At 40.6% G+C, this 26286-nt stretch overlaps 1 protein-coding gene across 29 annotated transcripts in view, besides 1 other annotated feature; it reads left to right on the top strand.

The window, feature by feature from the left end:
- The window catches only part of GSAP (gamma-secretase activating protein), a 105880-nt gene that overhangs the window by 50106 nt on the left and 29488 nt on the right, over window positions 1-26286 (top strand). For 13 of the 29 annotated variants that reach the window (XR_007060056.1, XR_927479.4, XM_047420491.1 and 10 more), the window contains 7 exons: window positions 3865-3942; window positions 5624-5701; window positions 10878-10970; window positions 11095-11312; window positions 12830-12953; window positions 13499-13581; window positions 17121-17174. Coding sequence is in view for 24 of the 29 variants with exons in the window: in XM_047420491.1 (XP_047276447.1) it covers window positions 3865-3942; window positions 5624-5701; window positions 10878-10970; window positions 11095-11312; window positions 12830-12953; window positions 13499-13581; window positions 17121-17174 (728 nt within the window). In the remaining 5 variants the exon portion in view is untranslated. The remainder of the gene's footprint in view (window positions 1-3864; window positions 3943-5623; window positions 5702-10877; window positions 10971-11094; window positions 11313-12829; window positions 12954-13498; window positions 13582-17120; window positions 17175-26286) is intronic. The other 16 variants (NR_146938.2, NR_146937.2, XM_047420494.1 and 13 more) reach the window with 5 other exon arrangements.
- Window positions 17918-18492: an enhancer, noted in NCBI's record as "NANOG-H3K27ac hESC enhancer chr7:76977350-76977924 (GRCh37/hg19 assembly coordinates)". NCBI's record gives its function as "activates a minimal SCP1, AML or CMV promoter by ChIP-STARR-seq in primed H9 embryonic stem cells {active_cell/tissue: H9 hESC(primed)}" and the evidence as "EXISTENCE:reporter gene assay evidence [ECO:0000049][PMID:30033119]".

Raw genomic sequence — 26286 nt, 5'->3', positions numbered from 1 at the left:
CAGCAAAGCTGACAAAAGCAATGGGGAAAAGACTCCCTACTCAATAAATGGTGTTGGGATAACTGGCTAGCCATATATAGAAATTGAAACTGGAACCCTTCCTTACAACATAGACAAAAATCAACTCAAGATGCATTAAAGACTTAAATGTAAAACCCAAAATTTATAAAAATTCTGAAAGAAAACGTAGGCAATACCATCCTAGTCATAGGAATGGGCAAATATTTCATAACAAAGACATCAAAAGTAATCACAAAAGAAGCAAAAATTGACAAATGGGATCGAATTAAACTTAAGAGCTTCTGCACAGCAAAAGAAACTAACAGAGTAAACCAAACGACCTACAGAATTGGGAGAAAATATTTGCAAACTATGCATCTGACAAAGGCCTAGTATCCAGCATCTACAAGGTACTTAAATTTATAAGACAAAAACAACTCCATTAAAAAGTGGGCAAAGGACATGAACAGATACTTTACAAAAGAAGACATGTGGCCAGCAAGCATGTGAAAAACTCAGTATCACTGAGGATTAGAGAAATGCAGATAGAGGTTACAATGAGATACCATCTCATACCAGTCAGAATGGCTATTATTAAAAGTAAAAAAAAAAAAAAAAAAAAAAAACCCACAGTTGCTGGCAAGGTTGCAGAGAAAAGGGAAGACTTATACACTGTTGATGAGAGTGTAAGTTAGTTCTACCATTGTGGAAAGCAGTATGGTGATTACTCAAAGGCTAACAGCAGAACTACTATTGGACCCAGCAATCTGATTACTGGGTATATACTTAGAGGAATAAAAATCATTCTACCATAAAGATATACGTATGCAAATGTCAATTGCAGCGTGATTCATGTTAGCAAAGACATGGAATCAACCTAAATGCCCATCAGTGACAGATTGGATAAAGAAAATGTGGTACATACATACCGTGGAATACTGTGCAGCTATAAAAAAGAATGAGATCATGTCTTTTGTGGGAACATGGATGGAGATAGAGGCTATTATCCTTAGCAAACTAACGCAGGAACAGTAAAACGAAATACCTAGTGTTCTCACTTACAGGTAGGAGCTAAATGATGAGAACTCCTGAACACAAGGGAACAACAGACACTGGGGTCTTCTTGAGAGTGGAGGGTGGGAGGAGGGAGCGGAGCAGAAAAAGTAACTATTGAGTACCAGGCTTAATAGCTGGGTGATGAAATTATCTGTAAAAATAAACCCCTGTGATATGAGTTTACCTATATAACAAACCTTCACATGTACCCCTGAACTGAAAATAGAAGTTAAAAAAAATTCCTGTAGTCCCAGCTCTTTGGGAGGCCAAAGTAGGAAGATCACATGAGCCCAGGGAGTTCAAGACCACCCTGGGTAACATAGACTCCATCTCTTAAAAAAAATAAAATAATTAGCCAGGCACACATGTAGTCCTAGCTATTTGGAAGGCTGAAGTGGGAGGATTGTTTGAGCCTGGGAGGTTAAGGCTACAGTGAGCCATGTTTGCACCACTGCACTCCAGCCTGGGCAACAGAGTGAGACTTTGTCTCAGATAAATAGTGCTTCAGTCATATTATCCACATTTTGAGTGTTCAGTGACTACATGTGGCTAGTTGCCACCATATTGGACTATACAGGTATATAACATTTCCATTGTCAAAGACAGTTCTGTTGGATAGCTTCACAGAGCCTGTGTACATACCATTTCAACTTGCTGTGTCTTTTTTTCCCTTTGGGATTGGGTGGGGCAACTAAGCATGACCTAACAATTTGGAAATATTTGCTTATAAGTTCTGGATATGGTTCTTAGAATATGTAATTAGGTACATTTATTCTACATCTCATTTTATTTTATTATTACACTTTAAGTTTTAGGGTACATGTGCACAATGTGCAGGTTAGTTACATGTGTATAAATGTGCCATGCTGGTGTGCTGCACCCATTAACTTGTCATTTAGCATTAGGTATATCTCCTAATGCTATCCCTCCCCCCTCCCCCCACCCCACTACAGTCCCCAGAGTGTGATGTTCCCCTTCCTGTGTCCATGTGTTCTCATTGTTCAGTTTCCACCTATGAGTGAGAATATGCGGTGTTTGGTTTTTTGTTCTTGTGATAGTTTACTGAGAATGTACATCTTACTTTTTTTCAAAATGAGAAAAACTTTCATTCTCTAAAGGATGGAGTGCAGATAGTTTGCTAGAATGGAGGTTATGATCTATGTTGCCATCATGTTCATTTCCCAGGATAGAATCCTAAAAGAATTACTGGGTGAACAGGTATGAATATATTTAACCCTCTGTGAAAGAATTTTTCTGAGATATTGTGTTAGTTGACTCATTCACTACTATTTGAGAATTGTGTAAGAAGCACATGCTCCCTTGACAGTATTTCATTATCATTTAAAAAACTACTTCTAAAGGAAAATTATGGTACCTTGTTTTAATTTTTATTTATTACTAGAGAATCTAAAGTCTTTTTTTTAAGCAATTTCATGTTCCTTGTGATTATAGTATATAAAAGAATGGATAAACAAGTAGTTTTTTGCTGATAATGTTTACTGTATGAAAGCAGTCCAAGTGGTATATGAGACTTTTGTAACTCTTATAATTATTATTTTGTTTATACTTTAGTGATAGATTACTTTTATTCTCAGTGAGTCATGAGTCAGCTGTAATTGTAAAGAAAAGTTGTTATTGTGTGCTCAGTAACCGTAACAGTCATTTTACATCTAATAGAATTGTTACCATGTTATCTGATGAAGTTATTCTTTTTTGCTATTTTGTGTTTAAGATAATTGCAATAAAATGTACTGCTGACAATACTTTGCAGTGTTAAATGTCATTAAAAAGTCATAATTGATAAATATTATAACAGAATACTTATAAATGTCCTTGAATAGCCCTCTTAGGGGAAACTGACTTTTTTTCTACCACGATTCTTTGATAAAGAAACTAATGAAGGAAAGTAGAGGAAACATTGAAATCCACTGAAGTAGAGTAGCGATTGAATTCACACAGCTAGTTAACGTTAGCTCTGGGGCTAGAACTCAGGTTTCCTGACTCCTTGTCAAGTTACTTTCTACCTGTCAATCTCCTATTTCAGTTAATCACATAAATGATAGACATACCTGTTTAAGCATACTGTCCTCAATTGTATGTAGGTCACTGATGGACATTAGTCCATACAGCAGCAGCTGCTAGAGATAATGTACAGTTTCATGCGTTGAGAGAGGTGGGGAAAGTTGAGGGTGTTCTGGAGTGATGGGGTAAGTGAAGGGGGTCAAGACTCACCTGGAAAGGCCACTCTATGCCAAGAGCTCTCCTTTGGCCTTGGGCCAATGCCTTCAGTGACTCAGTTACGGATGGATATGGACTCACATGCCACATTTGTTTTCACTGACCCATAAGATAGATCACACTTTGCCTTTCAATCAAGATAAACTAGAGACTGGTAACTTTCTGTGAAATGAACACATTTTTGATAAACTGGTGTTCACAGCTGTTAGTAATAATTGCAAGGTGACAAGCTAGATAAGGGAGGACAATGCATGCTTACTAGGAGAATCTCATGAAGCTTTGGAAACTGTCTAGAACCCCATTATTTCATATGCAGGAGTATATCTGTGTTCATTTTCCTATCCTTCAATAGCCTGCCACAATATGTTGCTATATAGTGTGCACTAAAAAATTACTGCTTTGAAATTTCTTAGCAACTTGTTAATAGACCACTTCTAGGACTTGGGAATAATCTATGAGGTAAGATGAGACAGGACATCTAAAGGAATAGAAGTAAGTTTAAGTGGTTTAGGAAACTTTATTTATGACATAGATTCTGTTAAACTCTACTAAATATCCTTTTTCTTCTAGGAAGTTTGTGTGTATGTTACAGCCCGAAGTGTGCCTCTTGGGGACAAATCACATATTCAGTGTTTTACATTCATAAAGGTACTTTTCATGTCTTCTTTGTTACTTTTACATAATAACTTTTTCCAAATAGTAGCAAATTAGATAGCTCTTAACAGTGTTATTAGTAATTTTTTGGAGACAGGGTCTCCCTTTGTCACCCAGGCTGGAATGCGGTGGCATGAATACTGCTCACTGAAGCCTCAACCTTATGGTCTCAAGTGATCCTCCCTCCTCAGCCCACCAAGTAGCTGGGACTACAGGCGTGTGCCATCATGCCTAGCTAATTTTTGTATTTTTTGTGGAGATGGGGTTTCACCATGTTGCCCAGGGTGGTCTTGAACTTCTGAGCTCAAGTGATCCACCCGCCTCAGCTTACCAAAGTGTGGGGATTATAGGCATGAGCCACCATGCCCGGCTGAGAGTATTATTACCATGGAATCAATTTTTATCAGTTCATTCTATATCTGTATACTTACAGGATATATATTTCCTGAAGAAAGTTGTCAATGGTGAGTATCAAGTTAGCTAGTTATTTTTATATATCATATATTTTTATCCTGGCCTATATATTTTTCTAGGCTTGTGGACCAATCCTAAGGAAGGTATTTATCCAAAGTGTGTTTATTTGCTTTTTAGTTATCGCTATTTGGAAAGTATCTATAGATTTAACTTACAGAGTTAAATAGGGTTTCAGTTAAAAGCATCCATGATCTCAGACCTCAACAGGTTTTAGATCTAAGATACATTTATTCCATTTCACACATCTATGGCCCAAGATATTGATAAACAATCTAGGGAGAAGCAGTCAAATGCCTAACTAATTTCTCCTGGTTCTGTAGTCAATCACAGTGTGCCCTGTAGTAGTTTTAGTTTGAACCATGCTAAGGAGTTATTGTTTTGCTTGTTTAATTCCTTAAAATGAGTATTTGTGCAGTATATACTATGGGTGTATTTAAATTTTTTTAAAGATAAAGATTTTTCCAATATTTAAAAACAATTATGCCAAGCCACACCAGAGCTGCTTATTCTATAGATGGACCTGATATTACCTCCTCAGGTTAGAGATTAAGGTAAAAAAGTTTAAGAACTTAATGGAGAAGCTAAAGTAACTTCAGAACTAGACATATATTCTATTCATACTTAAGTTGTATAAGTTTGAGATTTTTGTGGAAAATTTTTCACACATTTTTCTAATGGTTAATCTATTGATCAAAGGCAGTAAATAAAACTTTTCTGAAGATTAAGAGTTAGAAAGTAGAGAGGAAAGGCCAATATACTGAGGTTATTAGCTCGACTAATTCCCTTCCTACCTAAAAGTGGGATTTGTAAGTGATTTGGAGAAGTCTCAGAGGGTCTTAATGACTGCACGTGTGTGGCGGTGAGCCTTGAGGAATGTGGGCCAATGAGCCATGTGGTCATCTCTATCTCTTGGATCTTTAAGTAAATTCCTTCAGATCCTCTCCTCCCTGAACAATCCACCTGTCATGGTCTAAGATTATAATAAGCCCAGAGCAACTACTGGAGTGTGACTGCACTCAGATAATCTGCCTTCAATGCTGGTTTTTGGAGAATGAGGGGAACCATGAAATCTAGAAGTCTGAAGATGCCTGCTTACCAGTTTCATGGTCACTGAAAATATAGTGTGTTACATAGTCACTGCCTTGGGTGGAGTTCCAGTTCTTTGTTTAACATTCTCTGGCTTCATATTCTCTCTTTGCAGGACACAGCAAGACCTTCACCACTTCTCTTGAGAATGTTGGGTCACACATGACAAAGGGCATTACTTTTCTCAACCTTGGTGAGTGATGGAGAGATCACACCCCCTGCTCTGAACACTTGTTCCTAGGCATGGTATACCTCAGCCTTCTATACTATCCCATTTCTCATGCCTCTTTGAGACTCGGATTGTGATGACAATCAATGACCCACTTGAAATCTGATGAGAGAAGATTTTCTCTGGAACACACCCTTGCCTCTCAACTCCTTAGCCTTTGGCTTGAAAAGGGTTGGGGGTTGTATCTTCCCTTTTTAGAGAACCTAGGCTGTGAGCTTTCTTATGTTTTTTGGTAGCAGCCTAAAAAGCTATTTGTTAACATAAAAATGATAACTTGTATGAGATGTTCCCAAATAGCCCATGAGAAATAATACATCATGTTATCCCTTGATTATAGAGAGGATGGGGCCTCTGGGAAATTGTCTATTTCCTGTTGCTAATCTTGAAAAGTTTCCAAGTCCCATTAATGATTTATGGATCAGCTTGAGTTGTTTTCATTGAGTAAATATGGCGAAGGGAACCTGAGTATAATGAGGAAAATAAAGAAAGGGTTTGTTGTACCTCCCCACTGAAAGCTGCTTTTCCATGCCAGTTAGGATGTGGGGCACAAAGTTTAGCACAAGACTAAGTAATGATTTACTTGCTTACATATGGAACATGGCATATGGAACATTTCCTTTAAAAAAGGAGTTTCAGGTTTAGAGCATGTAATTCTTTGATATCTTTTTCCATCCCTATTCCACAGTCCATCCACTGTCATGATGCATGTTTGAGAGAGTGCAATGTGAGGAAACTGAGCAAAGTTATTTTTATTTTGAATGATACCATTGATGAGGTTGGATACTTACGCTGAGTGGGCCAGTATGGGCAAATTTTAACATGATCTCTGAATTTGTGGGAAATTGCCTTAGGGAAGCCTGGTTCTACTGCTTCCTGTGATAAGAGAGAGAAATATTATAGAAGGTTTCCTGGGTCTGGGACTTGATTCTTATCAGCAATGCTTTATCAGCATCCCATCTCAAGAGTGATGTGGGAAACTTTCCACTATGAAAACAGCACTTTGTGAGGGCAAAGGTATCCTTCCTTTTTTTACCCCTGGGAATGACTTGCAAAGGGCAGGCAAGATTTAATCTGTGGTCTTTAGCGTGTGGAGAGGCCAGAAATATAAGCTTTGTAAAAATAGGCTATCTTAAACATGTTGTCTTTCCTTCTTAAGCATATTTTATAGGCACAAAATCATAGCCCAGTTTAAAACTGCTGTACAGGTAATTTTTATGACAACAATATTGTTTTGAGTAATATATTTTTTGCTATTACGTGCAATTTCCCTGGACTGTCACCCTATTAAAATGGGCTTATATTGATTAATATATTAAAGAATAATTTTTTGAAAATTTCCATGAACCCCAGACACTTCTATGTAAGAAAGATATGTTTATAAATAATGAGCTACTATTTATTTAATGAATAGTGTATGTTAAGTATTTTACTTGTTATCTTGCTCCCTACAGCAATTCTGATTGGTGATATTATCTCCATTTTACAGATAATGAAACTGAGGCTCAGAAAGAGTGAGCTCTGTGCTTAGGCTTACCTCAGTGTCTTTTATAAGGGACACTAGATTATTAATAGTTTCTTTTTTTTTTTGAGATGGAATCTTGTTCTGTCTCCCAGGCTGGAGTGCAGTGGTGCAATTTCAGCTCACTGTAACTTCCGCCTCCGGGGTTCAAGGTTCCCACTGCAACCTCCACCTCTGCCTCAGCCTCCCAAGTAGCTGGGATTACAGGCGCACGCCACCATGCCTAGCTAATTATTTTGTAGTTTCAGTAGAGGCGATGTTTCACCATCTTGGCCAGGCTGGTCTTGAACTCCTGACCTCGTGATCCACCTGCCTCGGCCTTCCAAAGTGCTGGGATTACAGGCGTGAGCCACTGTGCCTAGCCTATTAATAGTTTCTTTAAACATTTTGTAATTTTTGTTTTCTTAGCATTTTATTTCAACTAAAACTTTATCAAGTGTTTTGTTTAGAGGTTTTGTTCTAGTATTTTTCTGTAATGCAATCCAGAATAAACTGAGAGAAAATGAAGTGAAATGATCCCATCAGTCACCCAAACGGTATGCAACATAACTGCCCAAACTAGAAAAGATAATTAGTGTTGTCAGTGTTACAATCCTAGAGTACTTAATTTAAAAATATTTATTCATAGAATTTGATTTTTATCTTATAGCATTTTTGATATATTTTTAAAAATATAAAACTTCAGTCTAAATGTTTTCAAACATTAAAGTTTTAACTAAATATAAGTGACTAAAGTATTTTCTTGAAATTATAAGAAGTATCCATTTTACATGTGGCATATGAATGTAGGTATAGCCTCTGCTTATGTGTAGTACCTTTTCTTCTCCATATAAGATCTTTATTAGAAAAGTCAGCAAATAAAATATAACAAATTTATACAGAGTTATTTCATCAAATCTTCCCAGCAAACTTTTTTGTTTGTTTGTTTGAGACAGGATCTTGCTCTGTTGCCTAGGCTGGAGTGCAGTGGTATGATCTTGGCTCACTGCAACCTCTGCCTCTGGGCTCAAACTATCCTCCCACCTCAGCCTCCTGAGTAGCTGGGATTACAGGCGCATGCCGCCATGCCCAGCTAATTTTTTATATTTTTTGTAGAGATGGGGTTTTGTCATGCTGCCCAGGCTGGTCTCGAACTCCTGACCTCAAGTAATCCACCTGCCTCAGCCTCCCAAAGTGCTGGGATTACAGGCGTGAGCCACCGTGCCCAGCCAATAAAAATAATACCCTACCTTATTTTGTTTTTAACTGACAAATAGTAATTGTATATGTTTATGGAGTACAATGTGGTGTTTTGATACCTATATACATTGTGGAATGATCAAATCAGGCTAGTTAGCATATCCTGTATTAGTTTATTGTTGCTGTAACAAATTATGGCAAACTTAGAACTTCAAACACCACAAATATTCTCTTAAAGTTCTGTAAAGTTGGAAGTTCGAAATGAGTCTTGAAGGGGCTAAACCAAAGTGTGGGCAGGACTAGTGCCTTCTGGAGGCTCCAGGGAAGAATTTGTTCCTTGCGTCCTCCCTCCAGCCTCTAGAGCAAGCTTGTCCAACCCACAGCCCAGGATGGCTTGAATGTGGCCCAAGACAAATCTGTAAACCTTCTTAAAACATTATTTTTTTGAGGTTTTAATTTTTTTAGCTATCAGCTGTTATTAGTGTATGTTATGTGTGGCCCAAGGCAATTCTTCTTCTTCCCAGTGTGGCCCAGGGAACCCAAAAGATTGGACACCCCTGACTAGAGGCTAGTATTTCTTGGCTTGTGGCCACTTCGTTCCAACTACTTTCCTCATTGTATGGTCGTCTTCTCTTCTCTAGTCAAATCTCCCTCTCATAAGGACTTTTGTGCCTACCTGTGTCTACCTGGATATTCCAGGATAGTCTCCCCATCTCAAGATCCTAGTCACATCTGCAAGATCTCTTTTACCCTATTCACAGGCTCTGGGGATTAGCACGTGCATATCTTCAGGAGCCATCATTCAGCCTACCACAGATACTACTGCCCCTTTTGGTGAGACAAAAATTCCCTGTTCATTGAGGGACTGAACATCCATCCCTAGAGCCTACTCACCAAATGCCAAATAGGAATCTCCCTCTCACTACCTCAATGATGTTAACAACCCAAATCACTGTCATATATTTTCAAATGCCACCACCCCACGGACATAGTGCCATCCTAATTAACTAGTTAAGTGGTACAGCTGGGAGGTAACTAGGTCATTTGATGCCGATACCCTTTCCATTATGTCCCACTGTATTGTTGTTTGTGGTTTTCTAGTAAAGTGTTGCTATAATAAGATGATTGCAACCATTTGTGCTAAGCACTTTAGCATCATTTAATCCACGTTGACTGAAAGGACACTTGTAAGTCAACTGGTTTGAGTTCTATATCCTCTTCCCTTTCCACAGAACGCCTTCTATGCAAATGATTAGCATGTGTTCCTTCACTTCTTAGGAAAAGGAGTCTAGCTGGCTCACTTATAATCTAAATGTTTCATCTATATAAAATTACTACTGTGTGAATTTCTGTTTTCTAAGATCCTAGAAAAAGTATTGGCAAGGGCTACTTCCACCCTTCCATTCTCCAGAAACCTATTTTTTATACCTTGTCTCCATCTGAGTACAAATGTTCTTGATTCAAAAATATCTAGTGCAGGGACTGAAGGTGTGAATTCTAGTCAGCTTGATATGCAAGGAAATAAATTAGTACTTCACAAAGTGTCAATGTGTCTGCAGAGATTATTCTGATGAATATCGATTTAAAGGTTCTCTAAACAAAATGCTCCTGCTACTGATGATGATAATGATGATCACTGGACAAACATGGGCAACAAAATTTTAGAGCTTCCCGAAACTGGCAGAAATTATGAAGAAAATTCCCAATATAGGCTATTTCCAGCTTATCAAATTAAGGAATAATTCGTGTTGCTTGATATTTTTATTCTAATTTGCTCTGAGATCATTTAGATTCACATAAAGCCACAAATCACTTAGAAACAAAACTGCAGGTATAAATTAAGATAACCATAGCTAAATATCTGAAGAAAATTAGCCAAAGATGGAAATAAATGAGGTTTACCTAGTAAGAGAAATGTGGCTGGGTGTGGTGGCTCATGCTTGTAATCCCAGCATTTGGGGAGGCTGAGGCAGGAGGATTGCTCAAGCCCAGGAGTTCAAGACCAGCCTGGGCAACATGCCTGTAATCCCAGCACTTTGGGAGGCCGAGGCAGGAGGATTGCTTGAGCCCAGGAGTTCAAGACCAGCCTGGGCAACATGGTGAGACTCCATCTCTATAAAAATAGAAAATATTAGTGGGGTGTTGTGGGCACAGTCCTGTAGTCCCAGCTACTTGGGAGGCTGAGGTGGGGAGGATCACTTGAGCCCAGGAGTTTGAGGCTGCAGTGGGCCGACATCACACCACCGCTACTCCAGCCTGGGTGACAGAGTCAGACCCTGTCTTAAAAAAAAAAAAAAAAAAACGGGCTGTCATTAGATAGCTTATTACATTGGTAAAACTTTTGCCTTTTGAGATATTCAGAGACAAGCAGGGATAATGTGACATTCTGTACCTGTGCAGCTTTTACCACATGTAGATGATGTAAATCTTTCTCTTCTATAGACTATTATGTGGCTGTTTACTTACCTGGTCATTTCTTCCACCTACTTAATGTTCAACATCCAGACCTGATCTGCCACAATCTCTTTCTGACAGGTACGGCTATAGTTTTTCTCTTGTAGAGGTGGCCCATTTGAGTTTGTTTTGACTTTAATATCTATGTTTGGGTGAAAGGAGTTTCTTCTATTTGCTGATCTACTGTTTTTTTTTTTTTTGCCAGGAAATAATGAAATGATTGATATGCTACCTCATTGCCCTTTACAGTCATTGTCAGGGTCCCTGGTATTGGATTGTTGTTCTGGAAAGCTCTATAGAGCACTGCTCAGCCAGTCGTCTTTATTACAGCTTCTGCAGAACACTTGCTTAGACTGTGAGAAGATGGCTGCGTTGCACTGCGCGCTCTACTGCGGTCAAGGTGCGCAGTTCCTGGAAGCCCAGGTGAGAAGATAGCTCATGTTTTAAAATGGGCAGATAGACGACACTGAACATATTTATTTTGTGGTTGAAAATGGTCAGGAGTTATTTTTATTTAGTAACAATTAATTGAGGTGTGTGGCCTTGCTGCTGACATCGTCATCTTTTGCGCTGCTTTTTTATGGATCCCTACCAGGTCTCACACTCAGGGTGTTTCTGTTCTTTTGGGTACCCCCTTTTCCATATTGGGAATAAAAGTTTAGCTATGTCAGTAATATTTCAATGAAGAGCTCAGTAAATAATGCGTTTCTTAAATATCTACTTTTTCTCCTGGTCTGTATTTGATCTATAATTATCAAAAGGACTAAAATCTGGTGGCAGATATTTATTACATTTGTAATAAAAATAGCTTACATTTGTATTTCACATTAGAGTTTATTAAGTACTTCCACGTGCATTCTGTGTTATTTTACAGCTATCCTGTGAAGTCAGAAAAATCTCTTTATCAGATGTGGTTAAGATCAAAGAGTGGCTGGTTAACTACAAAAAAAAAAAAAAAGACATTAGACGTTTTATTTTAACCTGAAACATAACAATGTACATTATTCACCCATGTTTTGACTCAAGCCTTTCTTTGTGCATCTGCTAATTGAAGTTCAACATCATTTTTCATGCATAAAAGCACTAGTAATGAGTTACCTCTAACTTCCTGTTACTTTTTAAAAATTTTTATTTCTAAGGATATAGTAATTTAAAGACCCTTACAAAGCAAGCTGTGTATACCAGGCATTTTTTACCCAATCTTTTTTAGTTGTTTCCCCTAAACCTAATTTTCTAGTGTTTTAGAGACATGCCTTTGACTCTTTACAAAGCATTCAACTTTTACTGACCCAATGACACTCTCTGCATCCACATTTTACTTGTCGATAGTAATATCGTATTACCTAATTTTGAAAATAAGTACAATAACATAAATCGGTTTTGAATTAAACAGCTTACTGGTAGGAGCAGAAGTGCAAGTGTGCACCATGGTTAGGCGTGCCTTATAATATCTGTCAGTGCTGAGATGGAAAACATTCCTCTAGCAGGTGAGGATGATTATGGAGATGAGCGAGTTGATGGTATAGCAGGGATTATCCCTCCCTCAGGAGGCAGTACAGTGATGCTCACAAAGGTTAACTGGTGTGTCCGTATTCACACCCAGGACCCAGCTGGAATTCACACCCAGCTCTGCTGCCCTCAAGCCTAGTGGTTTTGTTTTTCTTTTTTTCCTGTATCCCACGGCTCTTTCCACTGGTGCTTTGCTATAACATGACCTATTCTTGCACAAACGTTAGGTTGAGGAACGTTTATTTGGTTTCCAGCCAAGGAGATTTATTAAAAAGATGTATAAAAAGGATCTCACTTATAAAATACCGTTTTACCTACCCAGAATTGCATTATGTATCTTGAAGATAGTATAGAAGTGAGTATATTCTTAGGCAATTCTAAAATAGGTATAGAATGCAAAAGATTCATGTATATTTGTACTTCTTTGGTAGTGGAGGCAGAGAGCAGATTTAAATACCAACAGAGTTCTGTCTGACTTTTTAAAGATTATTCAGTGGATTTCTGAGAATGTCTCTGCCTGCCATTCATTTGACCTCATTCAGGAATTTATAATTGGTAAGTGTTGCTGATGTTGCAGCTTAAGTTGAATACTTGACCTTTTTGCTTGAGGGAAAGCAGTAAATTGATAGTGAATGCCTCAACCTGTCCAAATGCTACTTTGGAGCACATTAAAAAAAAAAAACAAAACTCTATCGGAGTCAGCAGCTAATTAAATTTCATTCTCTTGTGGTTTTCTAAGAAACTATGGCTGTACAGAGATTGATGAGATACAAGATAGGATCTTGATTCTATAACCTTATTAGTGATTTTTTTTTCCAGTAAGATGTAACTTTCTTAGCCCAGTTTTGTGTTGGCTGGTTTCGTATGAAATGATATAATGTCATTTGGGTAGATATGGTACTAAGTTATTCTTCTCATTGTAAAAAGCAGAACCTGAACATTTTAGTCAGTAGATAAAATCATGATGGTTACCGTTTTGAGGATGAGGGATAAGACAATGAAAACTTTGTTGGTTTGCGTGTTTTGGTTGCATTACAATGCTGTCATCATCTTATTAAACCACATCTTTTTTCCCCCTGTTTCAAAAAAAATCTACTCAGCTTCTTCATACTGGAGTGTATATTCAGAGACAAGTAACATGGACAAACTATTGCCACATTCCTCAGTGCTCACTTGGAATACAGTAAGTTAACACTGTGTATGCTGTATGCAAATAAAATCAATTCACAGTTGTGGGTCAGTTGTTGGACACCTCTCTTATAGCCATCAAGGTCGTGATTTCACTACTGTTTTGACTGATAAAGAACTCAGTTGAATTTTTTTTGGCAGAAAAGTAATAGCAAATCCCTGCTATTGGCCAAAAGTATTTGTATAAAAACAGTAAAACCAAAGGAGCAGGTACACAGGGTATTTATTATTCTTCCTATTACCAGGCAGAACTAAACCTCTATCATGGTATTTTTATTTTCTAAGTGACTAGAGTGGATTAAAATATGTACTGAGTTTTTATAAGTGAGGAATGGGTGGATTGCTGCTATCATACTTGGTAGATAAGGACCTTCACGACCCCTTTTTCCAGCCCCATTAAAAAGTCTGTAATAACTCTAGAGCTTCAGGATCAGTAAAAGTCAGCAATCTTAGGCACATTCACCCCAAATGACTTTTTCTCCCTGTCGGTTCTGACTCCCTCCTTTTAAATTAGGATGTGCTGAGCTAAAACACTGCTCATTTTCTCTTGAATATGGTACAGTAGACAGAGCTTTGCTGGCCCAGCAAGTGAAAACCGTACATAGGCTGTGCCTGAAAAAGTTCTGCCTCATGTTTCTTATTTAGATATTAGAACTACATGCTTGCTTTTGAGGCAGAAGTTTATATCAAAAAGGTACTTAGAAAAATAAATTGAATTTAAATAACACAGTCATAGGAAAATATGTACTAGAGTAAATGGTGACACTTTATGTTTAGACCCTGTCTAAATATAGTCCTTAAAAAAGATGTATCAAGTGTGTTTGATTAATTTCTAAATTTTTGGTATGCACAGTGGCAGTGCTTTCCTAAAGGCCTTTTCTTTGTCTTTTACTGTCGTGGTTATTAGACTTTTATGCCCCACCTTAGAATTTAAGGGAAAGAAAGGCCTGAACTTGTTCCCTCTCTAGGCACCCACGTTTTTCTTTTGGAACACATGTGAATAGACATGCAGACCCTGTGGTCACATGGCAGGAAGTCTGCAGGTTACACCACCCCAGAGTCAGGAAATGCACATCTCCGCTCCCTCCCTTACCAACCCCCTGCTGTTATGTCCTGTGTTCAAAGTGTCCAGGAGGCAGCTGGGACCACTGGTTCCCAGGGTTGTGTTAAAAGACTGAGCCACATGTTAATTGGATGTGGTGTGAGAATATCACCCTGAGGGTAACGCTTCCCTTTTGCACTTCTCAAGATTGTGCAGGGTGGAGCAGCTATTGTGGACACGCACAGGGTGACATCAGGAAGTCCAAGAAGAGCGATATAAAGAAACCTGTGGTTATAACCTCCCTGTACTGAACTAATCTTGGGGTTTGCCATGTTGCTTTAAACTTCTTGTGGTTGGACTAGGTTACCTTAAAGGTCTCTTCTAATCTTGAAAATCTATCAGTCTATGCTTATCATTAGCTGTGATGCAAATCATTTATTTTTCTCTTATCTGCAAATGTTCTTAATGCTACAACCTTAATAAAAAGTTTCCACAGGCGAAAACATGGATTTCACATTTTTGTAGGAGACAACTGACTTGGATTTTTTAAGATAATAGAAAATGTGATGCCCTTACACATAGATAATCCTGAATTATGTTTTGCAAACAACTATACCTCTTTTAAAATGCTATTTATAACCAAAACTGTAATGAAATTTTAATTTTTTTTGAGGTATCCTCTGTAGTGATAAATGAAGCACACAATAGATTCTTATCACGGCTTTCAACTGTCACATTGAAGAACTTAGTTGTTTGCATGTTCTGAAAACTTATTTCTCTGTCCCCATGATACCCTTTTTTACAGGAATATTCTATATCAGTAAAATCTCGGTCATTTAAATTATAGACAAATATCAATTTTTATTTCTACATTACATCTCCTAAAATATTTTCTTATATACTTATCTACTTTTTTTTAAGGAAATGAAAGCTGATTTGACCAGATGAGAGGCTAATTACATAATTAACATACAGATACACTTTTCAAAATAATAGTGAATAAAAGGCAATCTTGAAAGTTTATCCTTTTATTAAATTTCTGTTTTAACACTCACTAGTTAGCAGAATGCTATCATTTGCCCTTCTTGAAATGAATTGTTCACCTTTCAGATTTGCCATGATGATAGCACTGCAGAAACTCTTTTTTTTCTTTGGAGACGGAGTCTTGCTCTGTCGTCCAGTCTGGAGTGCAATGGTGCAGTCTCAGCTCACTGCAACCTCCATCTCCCAGGTTCAAGTGATTGTCCTGCCTCAGCCTCCTGAGTAGCTGGAAATACAGGCGCCTGCCACCATGGCTGGCTAATTTTTTTTTTTTTTTTTTTTTAGTAGAGCGGGGTTTCACCATGTTGGCCAGGTCGGTCTCAAACTCTTGATCTAAAGTGATCTGCCAGCCTTGGCCTCCCAAAGTTCTGGGATTACAGGCGCGAGCCACTGCACCTGGCTGCTGCAGAAACTTTTTTTTTTTTTTTAATTATTATACTTTAAGTTTTAGGGTACATGTGCACAATGTGCAGGTTAGTTACATATGTATACATGTGCCATGCTGGTGTGCTGCACCCATTAACTCGTCATTTAGCATTAGGTATATCTCCTAATGCTATCCCTCCCCCCTCCCCCCACCCCACAACAGTCCCCAGAGTGTGATGTTCCCCTTCCTGTGTCCGTGTGTTCTCATTGTTCAGTTCCCATCTATGAGTGAGAACATGCAGTGTTTGGTTTTTTGTCCTTGCGATAGTTTACTGAGAATGATGATTTCCAATTTCATCCATGTCCCTACAAAGGACATGAACTCATCATTTTTTATGGCTGCATAGTATTCCATGGTGTTGTATATGTGCCACATTTTCTTAATCCAGTCTATCATTGTTGGACATTTGGGTTGGTTCCAAGTCTTTGCTATTGTGAATAATGCCGCAATAAACATACGTGTGCATGTGTCTTTATAGCAGCATGATTTATAGTCCTTTGGGTATGGGGGGCTCCTACCTCTGAAATTACAGAGGACAATGAGGTACAGAAAAATTACCCAGTCAAGTCATGCAAGAATCCTGTTAGTCTTGATTCCTTCTAGTGAGGTAGGGGCCAACTATAATACATTTAAGTGAAAGAAGAGAGAGGAAGGAGTATTGATAATGAAACATTTCCCCTTTATCGTTACATTTGGTGCAAACATAATTTGCCTCATTCGTTCTTTAATAGAAATGTATAAAAATACCCTATTTGCTCTCTATTTCTTTGTAATAGTCTTTTCCTTTACTTTAGAGACCCTGTCACCTATTATAATTGTGACTTTAAAGAATGTGTCCTTTCCTGAGGCAAGAGATAGGCTATATTCACTGTTATTTATGCCCTCCAAGGTTTATTTAAAGTAGAGGTTAGAAGCTGGAAGCTGCCCTCAGCTTCTGTCTGTGCAGAAAACACTCCCTGAAAGCTTGAGCTAGTGGTAGTTCATACACTGAGCAGCTGTGTGTGTGTGTTTTTCCCCACTATAGGAAATTCCTGGAATAACTCTTGTGACAGAAGACATTGCATTGCCTCTTATGAAGGTAGGTCCCTTACAGCAAGAAACAAAAGTACAGATACATGACTAAAGCTCTGCTGCCTGAGTATTATGGTGGTTCCAAAAGGGATTGCAAATTGGCAGGGGAGGGGAGGGCAAGGCAGTAGGGTGGGTTTTCTGGAGAATCCTTCCTACATGGGTGAGTGATCACTGAGTATGGTATTATGGCAATTCTCAGGAATGCTCTTTGAAGGAAGTTTCCTGAAGATAGGAGAGAATTACGGTGCTCAACTTAAACCTTCCAGAACCAGCACTTGCCACTGTACCTCAGAACAGGCTGTACTGGGGGAGGTCTTGTAGATGATCTTTAGAGAGGCTGGTAGCTGCTTTTACTTTATTTGCACTATTACTCCCTCAAAATGAGCTTGCGCACGTGCACGTGCACACACACACACACACAGAATTTCCAGTCTTAAAACCATTAAGTAATGTGGGCTAGGATTATCTAATTTCCTTCTGGTTGTAAAAACAGCTTTTTTGTTTCTCAGGAGTGATCTGTATTGGCCCACTATGTGGTCTTCATCAACCTCTGAACATTAAGCTGTAGCTGTTAGTGTCTTTCTGCAACCTGGTGGCTTCACAATAGTTTTGGAGTACCATAGGAGAATGGGGTGGAGTGAGTAGAAAAGGATATGTATGTAGTTAAAACTAGGGGGAGTGTTTTAGCACAGTTTCCTTGAAGCTCCTTTGTTGTTTTTGGCATTTAGCATTGCCTCCTGTTAATCATAGCTTGAGGTAGACTGGGAAATCTCAACTTCTGGCAGCAGGGAGCTCAGGGTGCTGACGCCTTTTATTTCCATTTGATTCTTTTGTATCTGTGAAGGGCAGGCCGGGCCTGGACAGCTGGGGGAAGGCTGTGGCATTTTAGGTCACAGTGATTCACTGGGGGCAAGAGAGGGTAGATCGGGGGCCAGGTTAGTGGTTCTAGGTTTTGGTCCTAAGAAGAATCCCTTAAAAATAGACTGATGATCTGTGTTTCCAGGCAAAAGCATGGGACTACTGTGAAGTCCTACTAACATATGAAGATGAAGAGAAAAGAAAGGTTTTATTAATAGTTTAAAAGGTGTTTTAAAAGATTCCACCCATTCATTTTATTTATTGTTTATTGTTTCTGCCTTTTCTACTAGTCTTACCAAATCCATAATGTGTTTTTATTTATTTATTTTTAGAGATGGGGTCTCTCTTTGTTGCCCAGGCTGGAGTGCAGTGGCATGATCATAGCTCACTATAATCTCTAATTCCTGGGCTCAAGCAATCCTCCCGTCTCAGCCTCCTGAGTGGTTGGTACTACAGTCATGAGCCACCATACCCATCCAGTTTCTTATTTTTTCTTATTTTTTTTTTTTTTTGTAGAGATGGGGTCTTGCTATGTTGCCAGGATGATCTCAATCTACTGGCCTCAAGTCATCCTCCTGCCTTAGCCTCTTAGAGTGCTAGGATTATAGGTGTGAACCACCATGATGGACCATAATTTTTTAATGGACAACAAACCAGTGAAGAAAAATTTTGAAAGAAATATCATCCATAATTCTACAGTTCCTAATGTACCAACTGTCTCTTCTCCCCCATTTCCTCTTGGCCTTTGTTATAGGTATGCATATTTTACCCAGTAGTAATTGTGATCTACAGATATTAGATAAATTTTAGAAATTATGTTATTGTAAACATTTTTTCATGTTGCTATGTAAACTTATAATTTCTAATGACTCCATAGGATTCCACTGGATGGCAGTGTCTTTTTCTTTTTATTATTTTAAATTAGTAAGTGTGTGAGGAAAAACTCTGTCCAAACTGTGTTTTCCCTCTCTCTCACACTGCAACAATAATCATCAACACAGAAAAACACTTCTGTTACCAAATGTGTGGGAATTCTTCATGTACCAAGCAGCAGACACCAGCTGGGTGTCCTTTAATTCAGTTCTGACACTATCTACCTAGAGACAGTGTCAGATCCCACAGGTTGGGGGACATAGTCCCCAAGACTACCCTCCACACCCCCAGATAACAGGTGCAAGTCCAGACCTCTGGAACTTCTGACCAACTGTCTTTAAGTTGGGGTTCCCACGGTACCTCTTTAGGTTTGATTAATTTGCTGGGGTGGCTCACAGAACTCAGGGAAACATGTTTACTGGCCTATTATAAAGGATATTGCAAAGGAAACAGATGAAGAGACGCATAGAGTGGGGTATGGGGGAAGGGACGTGGAGCTTCCATGCCCTCTTTCGATTCACCACCCTCCAGGAACCTCCACCTGTTCAGCTATGGGGAAACTTCCCCAACCCAGTCTTCTGGGATTTTTATGGAAGCATTCCTTCCCTCCAGGGTATGAGGCAGGACCCTCTTAGGGGAGGGTCTTAAGATCTGCAATCAGAAAGGCAGGGGGGTGGGGCGGGGGGTGGTGGTGGGGAGTGGTGGAGGGGAGAGTCATGCCTTAGGGCAGGTGAAAGGAAGGCAGGAGAGAGAGTTTCCCGAGACTAGTCCTGGTCCCGAAGCCTAAAATACCCGATATTATAACATCAGGCTGTAACAAAGGCTATGGGCATTGTGAACCAGGAGTGGGTGGATGAAAATTAATACATACAAAACACCACAATAAGTATGTCATACTTTTTTTTTTTTCTTTTTTTGAGGTAGGGTCTCACTCTGTTGCCCAGGCTGGAGTGCAATGACATAGTCACAGCTCACTGCAACCTTGAACTCCTGGGCTCAAGCAGTCCTCTTGCTTCAGCCTCCTGAGTAGCTAGGACTACACGTACATGTCATCATGTCTGGTTAATTAAAACTTTTTTTTTTTTTTTTGGTAGAGACAGGGTCTTACTATGTTGCCCAAGCTAGTTTCAAACTCCTAAGCTAAAGCCATCCTCCTAACTCGGCCTCCCAAAGTGTTGGTATTACAGGTATGAGCCACCATGCCCTGCTGGGTTGCAGTGCCTTAACTCAATTGTTCTTCTGTTTTTTGGACATTTAGTTTGTCCCTAGCCCCCATTAAAAAAATTTCTTTTTGCTGTTAGAAATAATGTTGCAGAGAATTTTTTTTCTTTCTTTCTTTTTTTTTTTTTTTTTTTTGAGATGGAGTCTCATTCTCGTTGCCCAGGCTGGAGTGCTTTGGTGTGATCTCGGCTCACTGCAGCCTCTGCCTCCTGGGTTCAAGCGATTCTCCTGCCTCAGCCTCCTGAGTAGCTGGGATTACAGGTGTGCACCACTATGCCCGGATAATTTTTGTATTTTTAGTAGAGGCGGGGTTTCACCATGTTGGTCAGGCTGGTCTCGAACTCCTGACCTCAGGTGATCTGCCCACCTCGGCCTCCCAAAGTGAACATTTTTATACATACAGTTTTTCTTTTGATCTATTCCCCTAAGGTTAAGAGCCCAGAGGTAACATTGGGTGAAAGGCTATGACGATTTTTATAGCATTTGATTCTTATTTTGTGATAAATTGATATTCAATGAAAGGGATGTCACGTGCGTCCAGGTGAAGAGACCACCAAACAGGCTTTGTGTGAGCAATAGAGCTTTTTAATCACCTGGGTGCAGGCGGGCTGAGTCCGAAAAGAGTCAGCGAAGGGAGATGGGGTGGGGCCGTTTTATAGGATTTGGGTGGGTAGTCAAAAATTACAGTTAAAGGGGGTTTTCTCTTATGAGCAGGGGCGTGTGTCACAAGTTGCTCAGTGGGGGAGCTTCTGAGCCAGGAGAAGGAATTTCACAAGGTTAATCGCTCAGTTAAGATGGGGCAGAAACAAGTCGCAATGGTGGAATGTCATCAGTTAAGGCAGAAACCGGCCATTTTCACTTCTTTTGTGATTCTTCACTTCCTTCAGGCCATCTGGATGTATACGTGCAGGTCACAGGGGATATGATGGCTTAGCTTGGGCTCAGAGGCCTGATAGTCCTGTCTTCTTATATTAATAAGAAAAATAACATAAAATAGCATTGAAGTGTTGGGGCAGCAAAAATTTTTTGGGGGTGATATGGAGCAATAATGGGCAATGTTTCTCAGGGCTGCTTCGAGCAGGATTAGGGGCAGCATAGGAACCTAGAGTGGTATAGATTAAGCTGAAGGAAGATTTTGTGGTAAGGGGTGATATTGTGGGGTTGTTAGAAGGAGCATTTGTCGTATAGAATGATTGGTGATGGCCTGGATGTGGTTTTGGATGAATTGAGAAACTAAATACAAGGTTTGAATAAGAGAATGAGAAAAACAGATATTAAAGGACTAATAATTGGGAGGACCTCCAATTAGAGAGTGCCCAAGGGGGTTCAGCATAATTACTTGCTTGGTTGGCAAGTTTAGGCTCTATCCTTTAGATTTTTATGTTGTCATATACCAGGCCAGACTGATTTAGGTAAAAACAACACTTTTCATTTAAAAATATACAGAGTCCTTTCTTTTTTTGTTGTTGTTGTTGCAGTGAGTAAGTTGAGGCCTCAGCGATTTTGGAGGAAAGAGAAATGCAAAGCCAGCAATTGTTTGTTAAAGAAGGATTAGAAATGGCTAGGTGAGAGTGAGATTGGCAGTGTGGTGGAGATAGCTGGGGAGAGGTAGAGGGTGGCATAAGAATGGGAACAAGAATAATAATGAGTATAAAAGTAAAGAATAGGACTTCGTCAGGGTGAAAGTATTGGAGTGTACCCCGTCAGCAAAGATCATCTATCCACTCTAAAAGGGAGTTAAGACTGGCAGTTGGGGATAGCACCAGGAGATACTAGCTGTGATGGCTTGGAGCAACAGTGTAAACCAGCAGTGTAACAAGAGCAGGACATTTATGAGTAGTTGAGAACAGTGAATAGGAGTATGACTAGACAGAAGATAGTACGGATGACAAGTTTTTGGGGTGCAGTCCAAGTTGGGCTGGTGTCTGGAATGAGCCTGGAGCCTAACAAAAAGGAGCGTCCATACAGAAGCTCAAATGGGCTGTACCCTGTAGCATCCCGAGGACAGGCCTGAATTCTGAGAAGGGCAAGTGGTAAAAGTATTGTCCAGTCCTTTTTAAGTTGGAGGCTGAACTTGGCGAGGTGTGTTTTTATAAGACCATTAGTCCATTTTACCTTTCCTGAAGATTGAGGATGGTAAGGGGCCTGAAGGTTCCACTGAATACCAAGAGCCTGAGAAACTGCTTGGGTGATTTGACTAGTAAAGGCCTGTGTGTTATTGGACTGTATAGAGGTGGGAAGGCCAAACCGAGGAATTATATCTGACAGAAGGGAAGAAATGACCACGGTGGCCTTCGCAGACCCTGTGGGAAAGTCCTCTACCCATCCAGTGAAAGTGTCTACCCAGACCAAGAGGTGTTTTAGTTTCCTGACTCCGGGCATGTGAGTAAAATTAATTTGCCAGTCCTGGGCAGGGGCAAATCCTCAAGCTTGATGTGTAGGGAAGGGAGGGGGCCTAAACAATCCCTGAAGAGTAGTAGAATAGCAGATGGAACACTGAGAAGTGATTTCCTTGAGGATAGATTTCCACGGTGGAAAGGAAACGAGAGGTTCTAAGAGATGGGCTAGCGGCTTATAACCTATATGGAAGAGGTTATGAAATGATGACAGAATAGAATGGGCCTGTGAGGCTGGAAGGAGATAATTTTCCTTGGTCTAAGAACCATTTGTCTTGTGTGGGAAGAGATTGATAGGTAGAAGTTAGTCAGTGGGGGAGTAGGTGGAAGTGACCGATGAGAAGGAGAAAAACTGGCAGTGAGGGACAGAAATTGGAATGCTAGCTGCTTCTTTAGCTACCTTATCAGCATAAGCGTTGCCTTGAGCGATGGGATCTGACACCTTTTGATGGCCTTTGCAGTGAATGACTCCAGCTTCCTTTGGAAGTAAAGTGGCCTTGAGAAGAGTTTTTATTAAAGAGGCATTAATGATGGAGGACCCTTGCATAGTGAGGAAACCTCTTTTTGCCTATTATATAACAGCATGGAGGTGCAGGATATGGAAGGCATATTTAGAGTCAGTATAAATATTGATGCGTAGTCCTTTTGCAAGATTGAGGGCTTGAGTTAAGGCAATGAGTTCGGCTTGCTGAGAGGTAGTGGAGGGGGGCAGAAAGTATATGCGTCAGGTGTGAGGAAGAAAATAGATTTTGGAAGTTATGAGAACTGTAGAGAGTGAGTTGAGCATAGTTTGTGATTTTGAGGGCCTCTAAAAGTATTAAAGCGCGGCAGCTGCCACACACAGACATGAAGGCTAGGCTAAAACAGTAAGATCAAGTTGTTTGGACAGAAAGGCTGCAGAACACGGTCCCGTCTCTTGTGTGAGAACTCCAACCATACAGCCCTGCACTTTGGCTGTGTGTAATGAAAAGGGAGTGATAAGTTAGGGAGAGCTAGTGTGGGAGCTGTTTTTTAAGGAATGGAAAGGAGAGTGGGGAAAGGATTTAGGATCTATGGGGTCAACTAGGTTTATCTAGAATAGAATAATGGGTTGTGGAGGGAGGTATTGAGGATAGGAGAGTATATAGGTTTGGCACTGTGGGGTGGATAGGCAAAACAATTTGGTTGATAAGTCGCAGATCCTGAGCTAACCTGTAAGGCTTGTCTGGTTTTTGGACAGGTAAAATAGGGGAATTGTAAGGAGAGTTTACAGGCTTTAAAAGGCCATGCTGTAATAGGCAAGTGATAACAGGCTTTAATCCTTTTAAAGTGTGCTGTGGGATGGAATATTGGCATTGAGCAGTGTAAGGGTGATTAGGTTTTAATGGGATGGTAAGGGGTGCATGATTGGTCGCCAAGGGGGGAGTAGAGATGTCCTATACTTGTGGATTAAGGTGGGGAGATACAAGGGGAGATGCGAAGGAGGCTTTGAACTAGGGAAAAGGGCAGAATGAGAGTGTGGCTGTAACCTAGGAATAGTCAGGCAAGCAGATAATTTAGTTAAAATGTCTTGACCTAATAAGGGAACTGGGCAGGTGGGGATAACTAAAAAGGAGTGCATAAAAGAATGTTGTCCAAGTTGGCACCAGAGTTGGGGGAGTTTTAAGGGGTTTTGAAGCCTGGCCTTCAATACCCACAACAGTTATGGAGGCAAGGGAAACAGGCCCTTGAAAAGAAGGTAATGTGGAGTGGGTATCCTCTGTATTGATTAAGAAGGGGGCAGACTTACCTTCCACTGTAAGAGTTGCCAAAAGCATCTGTGATGGTCCAGGAGGCTTCTGAGGTGATGGTGCAGCGTCAGTCTTCAGCCGCTAAGCCAAGAAGATCTGGGAAGGAGTCAGTCAGAGAGCCTTGGGCCAGAGTTCCAGGGGCTCTGGGAGTGGCTGCTGGGCGAGTTGGACAGTCTGATTTCCAGTGGGGTCCCGCATAGATGGGACACGGCTTAGGAGGTATCCCAGGCTGTGGGCATTCCTTGGCCCAGTGGCCAGATTTCCAGCACTGAAGTAAGATCCTGGGGGAGGAGGTCCTGAAGGAATGCTTGACCACTGTGGCTTAGGCATTTTGAAGTTCTTGTGTGCTGGAGATGTGGCTGGGGTTTCTCTCACGGTGGAGGCAAGGAATTGCAACTCAGAAATATGTTGCTACTTGGCTGCCTCTACTCTATTATTGTACATCTTGAAGGTGAGGTTAGTTAAGTCCTGTTATGGGGTTTGAGGGCCGGAATCTAATTTTTGGAGCTTTATTTAATGTCGGGAGTGGATTGGGTAATAAAATGCATACTGAGAATAAGACGGCCTTCTGGCCCTTCTGGGTCTAGGGTGGTAAAGCATCTAAGGGTTGTTGCCAAATGGGCCATGAACTGGGTTGAGTTTTATATTTGATGAAAAAGAGCCTAAACACTAACTGATTTGGGAGAGGTCGGATAAAGAAAAAGGAGCATTAACCTTGACTGTGCCTTTAGCTCCAGCCACCTCTTTAAGAGGAAATTGTTGGGCAGGTCGGGAAGGGCTAGTCGTGGAATGAAACTGTAAGCCAGACCAGGTGTGAGGAGGCGAGGTGATAAAAGGATTATAGGGTGGGATAGTGGAGGCTGAAGAAGAATTGGGACCTGGCTTGGCCTGGTGAGGAGCAGCCTTGGGGAGGAGGGGAGAGGTCAGATGGGTCTGTAGAAAAGGAGGATTCAAGGACTCAGAGCTTGGGGTGGAGACTGAAGGAACAGACAGGAGAGAAAGAAGACAGATTTGGGATGAGTCACATTGGGAGCAGAGACTAGGGAGGGACCAATGTGTAGAAGAATGCCTGGAAGTCAGGCACCTCAGACCCATTTGCCCATTTTTCAACAAAAATCATCCGGGTCTTGTAAAATGGAGAAATCAAAAGTGCTGTTTTCTGGCTATTTAGAACCATTATCAAGTTTGTATTGGGGCCAAGCGGTGTTACACAAGAAAATAAGATGCTTAGGTTTTAGGTCAGGTGAGAGGTGAAGAGGTTTTAAGTTTTTGAGAAGACAGGCTAAGGGAGCAGAAGGGGGAATGGAGGGTGGAAGGTTGCCCATAGTGAAGGAGGCAAGCCCAGAGAAAAGAGAGGGTAGAGACACGGAGAAGGGGTGGGGGTAGTGAGCAGCCCTGGGCTGCAATGTGGGTGAGCAGCCAAAGCAGGCATCCCCGCAATTGACTTGCCACCAAGGGAATGTGGGTGAATGACCAAGGCAGGCATCCCCACGGTGATCAGACACCAATGGAGTGTGGGTGAATAATCAGGCAGGCGTCCCCGCAGCGATTAAACACCAAGGGAAGACTATCTTCCCGAGTCTGTGACTGGCGCCGGAGTTTTGGGTCCACGGATAAAATGTGTCTTCTTTGTCTCTACTAGAGAGGAAAAATAACTGGAATTGGAAGGACAGGGAGATTGAAGGGTAGCAAGAGAGGCTGGAAAAGAGAGTGAAAAGACTGCCTACCCGATTTGAAATTGGTGAGATGTTCCTTGGGCTGGTTGGTCTGAGGACCCAAGGTTGTAGGCAGATCTCCTCACGGAAGTGAGGGCAAGCACAGGGGACCGGTCTCCTGAAGGAGTCCTCCTGTCCTGGGTCTTCGGCACCAAATGTCACGTGTGTCTGTGTGAAGAGACCACCAAACAGGGTTTGTGTGAGCAATAAAGCTTTTTAATCACCTGGGTGCAGGTGGGCTGAGTCCAAAAAGAGTCAGCGAAAGGAGATAGAGGGGTGGGACTGTT

This window comes from Homo sapiens, chromosome 7, assembly GCF_000001405.40.
Source record: "Homo sapiens chromosome 7, GRCh38.p14 Primary Assembly".
In the NCBI taxonomy this organism is placed as follows: Eukaryota; Metazoa; Chordata; class Mammalia; order Primates; family Hominidae; genus Homo; species Homo sapiens.
Note: the sequence above shows the minus strand (reverse complement) of the source record. Positions and strands in the feature narration are given on the sequence as shown.